Source organism: Homo sapiens, chromosome 1, assembly GCF_000001405.40.
Source record: "Homo sapiens chromosome 1, GRCh38.p14 Primary Assembly".
Classification (NCBI taxonomy): Eukaryota; Metazoa; Chordata; class Mammalia; order Primates; family Hominidae; genus Homo; species Homo sapiens.
The window spans coordinates 3,954,375-3,968,590 of record NC_000001.11 but is presented as its reverse complement, the minus strand read 5'-3'; the positions used below and the strand labels follow the sequence as shown (position 1 = coordinate 3,968,590).

Genomic DNA, 14,216 nt, shown 5'->3' with positions numbered 1-14,216 from the left:
TAAAATTCTGCCCAGGGTAGAGGAAAGGCAGGAGCCCTTGGGTAGCCCACTCTGTGGTTAGGCCAGACATGGATATGTGAATGATTCCAGAGATATCCAATTTGTATCCATTGCATTGGCTTTAATTGTCCATGATTTAAATCATAATACTTATTGATCATCCCTACTTTCTGGGGGTATAAAGTTCTTAGGTTGCCTCAGTTTACTTTGGCTCATAAGACCCCTCCTGAAGTGGCTCCTTGTGACCTCTATGACCTCATGTCTCCTTCCCAGTCCCACCGAGACACTCCACATCCAGTCATGTAGAGTGACTCCATTCCTGTCATGCCTTACACACTCTCTTCTTCTGGTCCAAGCCCCAGGACTTAGCTACCTGGAGGAACTCTGTCTCTCCGCACCTGAGCCCTGATCCCATCCTAGACCTATTCTAACCTAACTATCTTTCCAGTGCCCTGTCACTCTCTTTGCCAGCTTGTGCTGGGCATCCCTCCTAGGTGCTCCAGGGACTCCTCATGCCTAGCCTGTCTGTCATACCTATAACAACCTTTTGACTTTCTCTATTGACTTGTGCATATAAACCATGGTATTATGAGCTTTATGAGAACAAGAACTATGTCTCACCCATTCTTGTAACCTCAAAACCTAGCACCTTTTAGGGCATGTATCAGGTGTTTAGTAATGTTTGCTTTTTAAAAAGTTAGGTGGGTACAAAAGTCATATCTACAAGATGTCATAATAGTCCATTCATGCACGTGTTATTTTAATGGGGCTGCTGTAACAATGTACCACAAATAGAGCAGTTTAGTAGAACAACAGAAGTTTATTCTCTTGTGGCTCTGGAAGCTACAAGTTTAAGATCAACATCTGAGCAGGGTCACAGTCACTCAGATACTCTGGGTAGAATCCTTCCTTGCCTCCTCCAATTTCTGGTGTGGTCATTAACCCTTGGCATTCCTCAGCTGGCAGCTGCATCACTCTGATCTCTCTGCCTTTATTATCTCAAGGCATTCTCTCTGTGTGTAAACTTGTGCAAAGTCACCAATAAGATCAAGGTTTATTTATTGTAGCAGCCAGCCTTCCCTTAGCCTAACTGACACATCACTGGATACTGCAACTGCACAGTTCTCATCTGGGGGTTAGAAAACACCCATGGGTCTCCTTACAGGGAAGACTCGGCTGCTCTGCATTCAAACTTCACTGAAAACCTTCCAGGTAGAAGCTGTTGTCACCCATTTTCCAGATGAGGAAGGAGGCTGAGAAGTTAAAAACTTGACCCAAGATCAATCTGCTAGTGAAAGTGGAGGTTGGGCTGGACACAGGTATGTGAGTGACTACCCAACCTTTGAGAAATTGGCATGAGGTCCAAGACTCGCCTGCAGAGTCTCAGTGTGGTCAGGTCCCAACAACACTGGTTCCCGGTCCCCTGGTGCTTCTAATTTAAATGGAATTTTCGAGTCACCAGGTAGCTCTCCTTCCATATTTGCCTGGGACAGCACCTCCCACCATCACCTCAAGGATCAATCTGGGATCACTTGTGTGGAGCTTGGCCCTGGGGAGGTCCCAGGACGTCCAGAGCTGACATTCCGGTCCCACCCACATTCCAAGTGGGACAGGAAAAGGATGGTGGCACACATACAGGTGACTGTGGGTATCCAGGAGCCTTATGGCCACACCTGGGCAGGGCCCACGGGGCAAGGGGCCACATGGGAGAGGCCTCCACTTGTGCTTTCCCTCTCATACCTCTGATGACAGGGCACAACCAACAGGCCACCTGATGAGGTGTTTGCTGCCATCCTGTCTGTTAGACCCAGATCTCCATGCAGGCAGGAACTGCACCTGTCTCAAGCATCACCAGACATCAGCACCAAAGACAAGGGAGAAGAAAGGTGCTCAGTCAATGCACCAAATGAATGAATGAATGACGGATCTCCACTCTCACTCTGGTATGGGATGAATTGCATCCTCCTAAAAAAGATATGTTGAAGACCTGACCCCAAATACTTCGGAATGTGACCCTATTTGGAAATAAGTCCATTGCAGATGTTATTAGTTCAGAAGAGCTCATGCTGGAGTAGGGTGGGCCCTAATCCAATATGGCTGGGGTCCATCTGAGAAGACAGCCATGGGAAGACAGAGGCACAGGGAAAAGATGGCCAAGGGACGATGTACCTGCAAGCCGAGGAATGCCAAGGACTGCTGGCAGCAACCAGAAGCCAGAGGAAGCAGGAAGGATCCTCTCTACAGACTTCAGAGAGAGTGCAGCCATGCAGACACCTTGGTCCCAGGCTCCCAGCCTGCAGAGTGGTGCAGGGGCCAGCTCCTGCCGTGATGAACCTCCACAGCAGTCTGTGATACTTTGCTACCACAGCCCCAGGACACTACCCCAAGCCCAGGGCCATAGCACTGGCAAATCAGCCCCTCTGCAGGAGCCACACTGGAACCAGCTGACTGCCCAGAACCTTTCCCTGCACCAACTGCCTGCAGCCATGGCCTCAATCATCTATTCATGTGCTGCAGCTTTGGAGCATCATGGGCTGGGCCTCGTGCTGAACGCTGGGGACACAATAGGCTCACAGTGCAATCTTCATCCCTACCTATTATAATCACACCATATTGATGCAGGACAGGCAAGCCCCAAAATTGGGGCTTAGCCCAGGAGGGTTCTTGGCTTCACCCAGGAGAGAATTCAAGGGTGAGCCAGTGGCGTTGGACAGCGACTTTTATTGAAGTGGCAGCGCACAGCAGCAGGAGAGGTACGGCTCCTTGAGAACCAGGGCTACCACATAGGCAGTGTGGCCAGGGTAGCCACCCAGAACTACTTCTGTACTCACATTTATACCTGCTTTTAATGACATGCAAATTAAGGGGCAGTTTATGCAGAAATTTCTAGGAAAAGCCTGGCAACTTCCTGGTTGTCAGGGTCGTTGCCATGGAAAGAGGTAGTAACTTCCAGGTGTTGCCATGGCAATGGTAAACTGACATGGCACAATGGTGGGCATGTCTTATGGAAACCTGCTTCTGCCCTGGCCCTGTTTTATCTAGTCCTCAATTTGGTCCAGTGTCCAAGCCCCACCTCCAAGAGTTGAGTCCCACCTCCTACCTCAATATCACTGATGCCTGAACCCCAGGAAGCTTCAGTAACTTCCCCCAAATCACCCTGCTCTGAGGGACAGTGAGGGGTACTGCCTAGGACATGTTCATAGGGGACCCTGTGAACCTCAGAGCTGGTTGTTGCATGTTGAGACCACCCAGGAAGATTAACAGTGTGTTAAGTTTCTCAATTTTTTTTTTTGAGACAGGATCTCACTCTGTCACCCAGGCTGGGGTGCAGTGGCATGATCTTGGCTCACTGCAACCTCTGCCTCCTGGGTTCAAGCAATTCTCCTGCCTCAGCCTCCTCAGTAGCTGGGACTGTAGGCCTGCACCACTGCACCTGGTTAATTTTTGTGTTTTTTGGTAGGGACAGGGTTTCACCATGTTGGCCAGGCTAGTCTTGAACTCTTGGCCTCAAGTGATTCACCCACTTGGCCTTCCCAAAGTGCTGGGATTACAGGCCTGAGCCGCTGCATCCAACCCAAGTTTCCCAAATATTCGGAATGTGATCTATAGGAAAGTATTCTTTCCCCCATTCCTTGTTTAAAGATGGCAGCAGGATTGGACAAAAGTATTCCACCACCCAGGGCCCTGAAACCTCACGTGGTTTTGAGCAGACCTGGAAACCGATCCCCTTAGCCTGAGAAGCCCAGAGTCAGGCCGCTCTTCCTGGTGAGCTCAGGGCCCCACAGTAGGAGGGCTGCGCCTGTGCACATCTCAGGGCCCAGCTGTACACGCATCTCCTGGGCACTACAGAAGCCACCAGCCTTCTGCGGTGTGCATGGCCCTCCACCTGGCAGGCGCTCGTGTTAAATTTTCAGGAATTTTAGGAGCCAGTAGTTAAACACAGCCATTATTAAAAATTAAACTATGTAAACTTTCAATTAAGTAAATTATAAAAATGAACATATTAAGTACTCACAATTCATCTCTTCCCTGTCACTTGACTGCATCTGACTGCATACCACGTACACCAGGTGGCTCTTGTCTGCAGCAGCTGCACGGTGGGGAGTGTGTGGTGGCACCACCGGTCCCTTCTCAGCCCTCATTCGGTGATGGCACAGTCATGGGCTTCAAATCAGCCATAGTTGCAGTGTTTACACCACGGAAGTAGGCAAACGCTGTCAATCAAGGTTAGATTTACTGTTCCATAGATCGCCTAGTCTTAGAAAAGAGAGCAATTGCTAATAATGAGGACTAAACTCTAAAGTACATTGTTGTGTTTCTGGCCGTTCATTGCACTGTGATGAGCACAGAAAAAATGAGGAAATATTCTTTGACTATTTGGAAACTATCATCCAATTCAGCAAAGGAGCCACTCACATAATTGACAAAATGATGATGTTTAGAAATATATCTCTGTTGTTTCATTTCTGTCTTACTCATTAATATAAACAAAAATACAAACTGACATTCACGTCAGAACTATACTTGTTCATCAATTGCAAGCTTTCACTACAACAGATACAAGAGTTTAACAAAAAATCAACAAACGTGACCTTTGAGAATGAATTCATCATATGGAATTTAAAATACACAGTATTGTAGATGTTAATGACAATCGTGTGATCTGTATCCTTTATATCAGTAATAACGTCTGCACATTTTATCAGAGAGCCGGTTGTTGAGCATCACCAGCACAGCACTGTCTCCCAGCTAAGGCCAACCTTGACTTTCTGAATCCTCAGCCTTTCCCACGCTTTCACTGCATGTGGCCAAAGCTCAGCCTTGGGCCTACAAAATGCAGCCATGGCTGGCCTTGGCCACACGGACCCTGAAGAGCAAACAACAGCAGGACTAGGCACTGCTGGGCGTGAGGCTTTGAGAGCCCCAGCTAAAGACTCAGGCCTTACCAGACAGAGGAATTTGTCTATGGGACCAATTACCAAAAGGAAGTGTCAGTAACGGCGGTGTCAGCCCTGAGCCTGAACGCATCAGTGGGACCTCCCCTGGGTAGGCTCATTTAGGTTGACCTGGGCTGCAGCAGGGAAGCCTCTTTTCCAGCTCCTGGTCCTTGACAAGTCCTCTCCTGGACCTGACTCTGCTGTGGCTCCTCTCAGCCCTCTAGGCCTGACCTTTACATCGGTCCTTCACAGGCCTGGCTCACCCAATTTCAGCAAAAACCCTGTTAAGCCAGGTGAGCGAGACTCCCCCCACCACCCTCTACATCCAGTTGGGTTCTTCATCCTCAACATCCCGCAGGTGATGTCTGATCTCCTGGCCTGGTTTCAACAAGAATCCTGTTAGGCGGGTTGAGCCAGAATCCCCCCGACCCCTGAGGTTTCCTCTTAGTTGTTTTCCATCCACAGACCCCACCCTGCTCCTTAGCTGTAAATCTTCACTTGCCGATGCTGTGTTCAAAATCAAGCTCAGGGCCAGACGCAGTGGCTCACACATGTAATCCCAGCACTTTAGGAGGCTGATGTGGGCGGATCACCTGAGGGCAGGAGTTTGAGACCAGCCTGGCCAATATGGCGAAACCCCATCTCTACTAAAAATACCAAAAAAAAAAAAAAAAAAAAATTAGCCAAGCGGTGGTGTGCACCTGTAATCCCAGCTACTTATAAAGCTGAGACTACAGAATCGCTTGAACCCAGGAGACAGAGGTTACAATGAGCTGAGATTGCATCACTGCACTCCAGCCTGGGCGACAGGGTGAGACTGTCTCAAAAAAAAAAAAAATCGAGCTCAGTTCTATACTAAAGTCCCCTTTCTCCCATTGTAATGGTCCCAAATAAAATCTGATTTTAGGCCGGGTGCAGCAGCTCACGCCTGTAATCCCAGCATTTTGGAAGGCCGAGGTGGGTGGATCACGAGGTCAGGAGTTCAAGACCAATATGGTGAAGCCCCGTCACTACTAAAAATACAAAAATTAGCCGGGCATAGTTATGTGCGTCTGTAGTCCCAGCTACTCGGGAGGCTGAGGCAGGAGAATCTCTTGAACCCGGGAGGCGGAGGTTGCAGTGAGCTGAGGTTGCGCCACTGTACTCCAGCCTAGCCAACAGAGCGAGACTCTGTCTCAAAAAAAAAAAAAAAAAAAACTTATTTTAGCACTTTAATGACTCCCATTTTCTTTGACAGCCTCTACTATCACCCTCCACTGAGCGAGTTCCAGGCTGGGGGATACCAACCTGACCGATGTCCAGTGTTAGGCTGTCTGGCCAAGGAAACTTGGCTTTTTTAAAAAAATTATGGTAAAATATGCAAAACACAAAACTTATCATTGAAAGAGGTCAGGACATGCCACCCCAAAATATACCGCTTTGGCACATCGGTTATTTTGAGCTGAAGACACTTGGGAAACAGCAGGTGCAAGAAGGCCTCTCTGGCCTCCCCTTTTCTACCTAAAAGCAGGTCATAACATCTCCCTGAGAAAGGTGACCTCCCTGTTACCAAGAAGAGAAGAGCATCCCCATCACCAGAGACAGGGACTCGGTGCTGAAATTAACCTATAAACCAGCCTACCAAATAACCCCTAATTTCCAGAGCCTCCTGCACCCCAGCTCCTCTCTCTTCCCCACACTTTACTACCCCTAGCCCAAACCTCTTTGTCTTGCCACTTTCTCACAAACTTCTTTGTCTAAAAGGTAAATAAGCTGTCTGTTCTGGTCACTTCAGGTCTTCATTTTCTTTTTCTTCTTTCTTTCTTTTTTTTTTTTTCTTTTTTTGAGATGGAGTCTCGCTCTGTTGCCAAGGCTGGAGTGCAGTGGCATAATCTTGGCTCACTGCAACCTCCACCTCCCAGGTTTAAGCAATTCTCCTGCCTCAGCCTCTTGAGTAGCTGGGATTACAGGCACCCACCATCACACCCAGCTGACTGTTATATTTTTAGTAGATATGGGGTTTCACCATGTTGGCCAGGCTGGTCTCTAACAACTGACCTCAAGTGATCCGCCCACCTCGGCCTCCCAAAGTGCTGGGATTCAGGCATGAGTCACCGTGCCCGGCCTCTTCATTTTCTTTTAAGGATTTCCATGTACATGTAAAATTTGTTTCCTTTTCTGTTGTCAATCTGTCTTAAGTTGGTTTAATTCTTAGGCCCAAACAGAGACCCTAAAAGAGCAGAGGAGGAATTTGTGCTCCCCTATACCATCTGAACTATTTTTTAAGTGTCCACTTCAGTGGTATTAAGCACTTTCACAGTGTCACGCAACCATCACCACCATCCACCTGCAGAACTTCCTTCCTCTTCCCAAGATGAACCTCTGTCCCCATCCAACGCTCACTCCCCATTCCCCCTCCCCTAGTCCCTGGCACCCACCATTAGGCTTTCTGTCTCTCTGAATTGGATGACTCTAGGGACCTCATATAAGTGGGATTGTATAGTATTTGTCCTGTTGTGGCTGGCTTACATCACTTAGCCTATAGCAGATATATTGTCCTCAAGGTTCATCTGCGTTGACCCCTGTGTCAGGATCTCCTTCCTTTTTAAGACTGAATAACATTCCATTGTGTGGGTAGACCACGTTTTGTTTACCCATTCATCCATCCATGGACACATGCATTGCTTCCGCCTTTCTTTTGGCTCTTGTGAACAAGGCTGCTGTGAACACAGGTGTGCAGATACCAGTTTCAGCCCCTGCTTTCAGCTCTTTTGAGGTATATACCCAGAAGTGGCACTGCTGGATAATACAGTAATTCTGTTTCTAATGTTTGAGGAGTTGCCATACTGTTTTCCACAGTGGCTGAACCATTTGTCTTTCCCACCAGCAACGCACAGTGATACCGATTTCTTCACATCCTTGCCAACACTTGTTATTCTCTGTTTGTTGTATTTATTTATTTATTTATTTATTTATTTATTTATTTATTTTTGAGACCGAGTCTCACCCTGTTGCCCAGGCTGGAGTGCAATGGCGCGATCTCAGCTCACTGCAACCTCCGCCTCCCAGGTTCAAGCGATTCTCCTCCCTCAGCCTCCTGAGTAGCTGGGACTACAGGTGCTGCCACCACACCTGGCTAATTTTTGTAGTTTTAGTAGAGACAGGGTTTCACCATGTTGGCCAGGCTGGTCTCAAACTCCTGACCTCAGGTGATCCACCCAGCTTGGCCTCCCAAAATTCTGGGATTTAGGCCTGAGCCATAGCACTTGGCCTGTTTGTTGTTTTTAAACAGTCATCCTAATGGGTGTGAAGCGGTATCACACTGTGGTTTTGCTTTGCATTTTGCTAATGACCAGCAATGTTGAGCATTTTTCATGTGCTTGTTGGCCATTTGTATATATTCTTTGAATAAATGTCTATTGAAGTCCTTTGTTCATTTTTGAATTGGCCTGTTTGTTTTTGTTGTTGAATTATAGGTCTTTAAATGTTCTGGATTTTAACTCCTTATTAGATATATGGTTTGCCAGTGTTTTCTCCCAGTCCATGGGTTGTCTTTTCATTCTGTTGGTAGTGTTCATTGATGCACAAAAGTTTTTAATTTTTATGAAGTCCAGGATTGAATTTGGCTTTGAATTTTAAAGCACAGTGATTTCAGTGGTGCTTGGCCTTCTCCAAGGCCAGCCCTGTGCTAGAATCCAGGGACACAAAAGAAGACTCGGGGCTGCCTGTGGGATGGATAGACACACAACAGCAACAGTCACATCTCAGTGATGGCACCGAACACACCTTCTAGAAAGCGCACACCCACGCACACACACACAGAGGAAAATGCGAGGAAAACTGCCTGAGAGGTCACGCCAGCCTCACATCAGAGGGAACACTGGGGCTGAGCCTGGAAGGAGGACAAGGGAGTTCCTAACCAGATCCGGAAGGAGAGGACAGAGACACGGCATCCTGCTTGAAAGACTAAGATCTTTCCTTTCCAAACTCTTCTCAACCAAAAGGGCTCCTCAGGCAGAGGGCAGCTCTCTCAGTCCTGCCTGGGAAACAAAAGTCACAACCAAAGGCTAACAGGATTTAAGAGGCAGGACGGCGGGACGTGGTGGCTCATGCCTGTAATCCCAGCACTTTGAGAGGCCGAGGCAGAGTTCAGGAGTTCAGCAGTTCACCTGAGGTCAGGAGTTCGCGACCAGCCTGGCCAACATGGTGAAACTCCGTCTCTACTAAAAATGCAAAAATTAGCCGGGTGGGGTGGGGTGTGCCTATGGTCCCAGCTACTTGGGAGGCTGAGGGACGAGAATCGCTTGAACCCAGGAGGCAGAGGTGGCAGTGAGCCGAGATAGCACCACTGCACTCCAGCCTGGGTGACAGAGTGAGACCCTGTCTCAAAAAACAAAGAGGCAGGACTAAAAAGAATGGGCTGGGGGGCCCCTGCTTCTATCCCCGGGGGCTACAACTCCCAATTTCACTGAGGCCCAGCCCTGCCATCCGGCTGAGACCCCACAACCTTCGACCTCCAGGGACAGGACCACCGACAAATCCGCAGCTGCCCCTCCCCTGCCCCTCCCCTGCCATCTGTAGAAGGGGATAATGATTCATTTGTATTCATAAGACTATTGTTCCAACGATTAATTAAAAGGCGAGTATTTTTAACCATCTGTACTAATTTAGGGGAAGAATTTAGAAATATAATTGTATTATCTGTAACTGAGGAATTCAGACAGATCCCTCTCAGAATCAGAATATTAATGTCTCAGAGAAACTCACCAACCTGCCCAACTCATTGCTACCATTCCTCCTCAATTAGCCAAATAAATGAGGGTGATTTAAGATGTTTGGCTGGTGGGGAAAGGACAGAGAGAAGACCAGGCTTTTCCCCGCAAGTTTGGGGAAGCAGAGGCTCCAGGCCAGGATTCAGCCCCCAGGGGTTGGGTGGATGAATGTTCTGAACCTAAATAATACAATGGGGTAATCAGGTCACCCTGGGGCTGGGGAGGGAGGTGTTGTGAGATACACACCAGGGGCCACCTGCTTCCACCCAACCGGCTTCTCAGAGCTTGGAGTTGTGACCCCAAACCTCTGCCCCCTTCAGCCAGCTTAGTCCCGTGTTGAAGGACACAAAATAATGAATAGCACAGGGTGGAAGGAGGGGCTTGGTTAAGATGGTGTCCGGGTAGAGGAGACCCCTAGAGAGTCCCTGCAGACCCCAGGCTGCATCGCCTCCGGGCCTGGAGTGGCACTGGGGGGACCCAGGCCTCCTGAGAGGTGGTGAACTGGGACACCAGGTCAGAGGCTCGGCAGTAGCCACAGGCCACTTAGGGGCTGGGGAAGGGGACTTTACCCATGCCAGGACCTGGGGCACTGGGGGAAAAGGCGGCTCAAAGGGCAAGGAGGGCACAGCCTCTTCCTGCCAAGCTCCTCCTGCTCCAAGGGCTTCCTGCCTGAAAGAATTCCCTCCAGAGTCTCCTCATGGCCCTGGATCCAGGAGCTTCCCGGGATATCCTAATCCACGCTGTTGCCCATGCAGCCAGGCCAGCCACTCAGTGAGGGACATACCGTGGCAAGCAGTGTGGTTTACAGACACGTCCATGTACACCCTCGCAGGCACACATGCTCATGCTTATGCATGTGTGTACACACGTCTGTGTGGATGCACACCCATGAACGCACACACACACACAAGCAGGCACAGGGACTTGAAGAGAGAGTTCAAATCTTGCTCCAAACACACACTAACCATGTGGCTTTGGGCAAGTTTCTAAAGCTTTTCCGAGCCTCCAATTCCTCATCTGTAAAGTGTGGGTAATGCACTGGCCCTCTAGGCTGGGAGATGACAGAATATGGATTCTCGTGGCTGAATCCTTTCAAGCCCAGGCCAGCTGACAGGCAGGACCCCTCCCACACCCCACACTGTGAGGGCGACAACAGGAGGTGTCTGCTAAGTGTCTGGGTATCAAATTATACCCCTAAAGGACTAAGGAGAAAGAAGGAGCTCAGATGCAATGAAGACCCCCACAGACTCCTGCCCAGTCAACCACTTCTGACAGTATAAGCGCGTCCTCCCTGCACACAACCCGCTTCTCACCATTCTGGCTTACAGACTGAACATGCAATTTTGATCAAACAGAATCTACGTGAGCATACTGAGTACCTACTGAATACAAGGCTCCGTCTTGAGCCATTGGGAGGAAGCCTAGCTCACACACAGCCCCTGCCCTCCAGAAATGACAAGCTCAGGGGAGAAGAGACAGGGAAAGTTGAATATAAACCATGTTGCAGGACAGGGCATGGATGCCTGCAGCATGGAATATAGGGCAGAGATTCCAGGATGGAGGGAGCAAGGATTCCAGAATCCAATGAGTCTACATGATGCCGGTCCAAGGTCCCAGGCCCCCTACTTTGTTATATTGGGAGAAAATGAAATGAGGAACCCTGCAGACTCTGACTAGGACAAACAGCGAGGTGGCCAGGGACACCCTTCCCAGCCACGCTGGGCCCAACAGCAGTCAGCGGAGAGAAAGATCCTCCTTTAATGCCATACCACCAATTTCTAGATGGGCAAACTGAGGCCAGGAGAGGTGAGGAGCTCAAGGTCATGCGCCCTAAGCCTCTCTCCCAGTCCCCTTTGAGTTCCTGAAGTTATCCTTGGAGAAGGGAATTCCCCACTTCCTCACCCTCAGCTCATATCTTGCTTAACAGGAAGTTCTTCCTCACCCCACTAAGCCCCTCCAGCTGGGATTTCCCTGAGAGCTTTTCTGACAGCCAGGGCCTGACTGGGCTCCAGGTAGCAGAACCCTGCCGCTCGGGCCGGTAGAGCAGTCCCAAGAGCCCATGGCCTCTGCCACACTCACACAGGACCCTGCCACTCAGGCCAGTAGAGCAGTCCCAAGAGCCCGTGGGCTCTGCCGCAACCACACTTCATTCCCAGCCAGGCCTGTCCTTTCAGCCGTGCAGCCCGAGACCGTGAACATCCGCCCATTCACTCACTCAACAAACATTTAGTGAGTGCCTATGCTGAGTCAGCCTTCGGGATGGGAACTGGAGACAGAAGAATGGCTCAGCCTTGTTGACTCCACGCTGAAAGAAAACCCCTCTGCCAAACTCTTGAGAGCTCGCAGAGCTTATGGTCACACTCTTATATGTAAAAATGTTTATTTAGAAATAGAATGCTTGTTCCCCGGTGCCACAAAGAGATAGTACTTGAACAAAAATTTAATTCTCTCAACAAGGCCATTTTTAACTTTCTGCAGAAAGGGTGAGCATCACAGATGAAACAATGGCAAAAGCACACCTGAACAAAGGAGGGAAGCAAGTTTTATCCCTTAGGCGGTTTGTCCCTGCTACTGTGTCCTGTCTCTATTGGCTGGAGCCAGGCGGCACAATCTAAACTAAAACCTGATTGGCTAACAGTTTAAAACTTTTTAAAACAGGTAAAAGTAATGGAAAGACAAAGAAAAAGAGAAAGAGAAAGTTGCTTAAGCCAAATAGGGAAGAGGCATAGGCTGCAAGCTGGAGCGTGCCTGTGAGCAGGTCCAGCACAAATATTTTGGTTAAGGTACAAGGACATAGGATGTACTACGTGCCTGTGAGCATGGTTAACAGCTACATAGGATAGGGCCCAACAAAGAGTTATTAGCATAAAGTAAGGAGGCTTAAAGGAAGTTAGTCTTTAAAAGAAACTATCATTTCTAACACTTATGATTTATTCTTTAACAAGAAGGGAAACTTTGAAGGGGAACTTTTACTTTTGACACACATCATTCTCCTCATTGCAATGATCCCCTCCCCATTCAGTAGCCCCTATCCCCACTGCGAGAGTCTCCTATCTCCACGTCAATAGTCCCTTCCCCCACTGCAATAGTTCCCTCCCCTAAAGAAATATTCCCCTCCCCCAAGCAATAGCCCCTTCCCCACTGCAGTCAACCACTCTTCTTTGCAGTCATCCTTTTGAATGAAGTCTGTCCTTCCTAGGTCCAGATTCCGGTTTTATTGGTGGAACCGCAGTTCTCCCCAGGGCATGGCCTGTGGGAAAGGAGCCAATAAGGAGGAGCCGGCCGTGGGCAGCCACTAGGCAGAGAGAGCGTTCCAGGCAGAGTAAGGTGGGCGCCGTGTGCAAATGGAAACAGGGAAGAGGAGTAGGGTGGGTGTGAGGGGAGAGCGACAAGAAGCCAGGAGGCCTGGGGGACGCAGGCAGGGAGTGTGCAGAAGAATTTCACTCAGCATCTGCTCCGCCCTGGGCAGCAGCGGGGACACCCCCGCCGGGGGCTATAACACCGTCCAGGCAGGAGCAGGTGCAGGCGTAGGCCAGGGCGGCGGTGGCAGTGGAGACACAAACTCAGGACTTACTGTGACGTAGAGATGGGAGTGGAGAGGGAGTGGAGGAGAGTAAATAATGACTACATTTTTTTTTTTAATGAAAAGAGAAAGACTGACAGAGGAAAAAGTTATTTTGTCACAGACCAGATCAGCAAAGTTATGCTGCCGTAACAAAAAACAAAAATGAAATTCAGCGTCTTCATGGATGATTCGGCCATTGCTACAATGCTGCTGTCTGACAAGCCACTCCAAAACTCCAAACTCGGTGGCTGACATCAACAAGTGCCAGTTTCTCAACCTCAGCCAGCGTCTGGCTGTGGATCATCTGGGCTTCCCCGGGGATTCCACACTCTCTGGAAGGGCCGCGCCTGGAGCACGTTCTCCCCAGACAGGTGACAGGAGCCCCGGGGGGGAGCCCCGCCGCCGCAGAAGCACAGCTGAGACCTCTGCTTGTGCAGTGCTGTCAAAACATCCTTGGCCAAAGCAGGTCACATGGCTAAGCCCAGCCTCCATGGTTTGGGGAACATATCCCATGTACTCACGTGTACTGGACAGTCACATGGCAGAGGGACAGACTGAAAACAGAATGCCGAGAAGAGGACAAGAATGCAGGGAAAGAGACAGGGGCAGAAAGAAACCCATGCGCAGGAGGTCCGGGGAGCCCAGGAGAGAAGGGATGAAGGGCCAAGCGTGAGAAAAGCAACGAAGAGGAAACAGAAGAGGAGGACAGAGGGCAGGCCCCCTGATGTGATGTGGCAGGGGGGTGGGGTGGTCACGATACAGCCTCAGCAGAGGGGCGGGAGGAGAGGCGGTGGGCAGCCAGCTCTTCTGAGGACTCTGGCCGCAAAAGGGACCAGAGAAATAGGGTCCAGAGAAAGGGACCAGAGAAATAGGGCAGCGGTGCTCAGGGGCATGGGGTCACGGAGACCTCCCATGCCTGGAGACGAGGATGAATGCTGATGGGAGTGACCCAGAGAGGGGCCA

General features: G+C 49.6%; 3 annotated features.

Annotated features, from left to right (window-relative positions):
* Positions 9,717-10,252: an enhancer, noted in NCBI's record as "H3K27ac-H3K4me1 hESC enhancer chr1:4018399-4018934 (GRCh37/hg19 assembly coordinates)". NCBI's record gives its function as "activates a minimal SCP1, AML or CMV promoter by ChIP-STARR-seq in naive H9 embryonic stem cells {active_cell/tissue: H9 hESC(naive)}" and the evidence as "EXISTENCE:reporter gene assay evidence [ECO:0000049][PMID:30033119]".
* Positions 10,253-10,789: an enhancer, noted in NCBI's record as "H3K27ac-H3K4me1 hESC enhancer chr1:4017862-4018398 (GRCh37/hg19 assembly coordinates)". NCBI's record gives its function as "activates a minimal SCP1, AML or CMV promoter by ChIP-STARR-seq in primed H9 embryonic stem cells {active_cell/tissue: H9 hESC(primed)}" and the evidence as "EXISTENCE:reporter gene assay evidence [ECO:0000049][PMID:30033119]".
* Positions 12,913-13,638: an enhancer, noted in NCBI's record as "H3K4me1 hESC enhancer chr1:4015013-4015738 (GRCh37/hg19 assembly coordinates)". NCBI's record gives its function as "activates a minimal SCP1, AML or CMV promoter by ChIP-STARR-seq in naive H9 embryonic stem cells {active_cell/tissue: H9 hESC(naive)}" and the evidence as "EXISTENCE:reporter gene assay evidence [ECO:0000049][PMID:30033119]".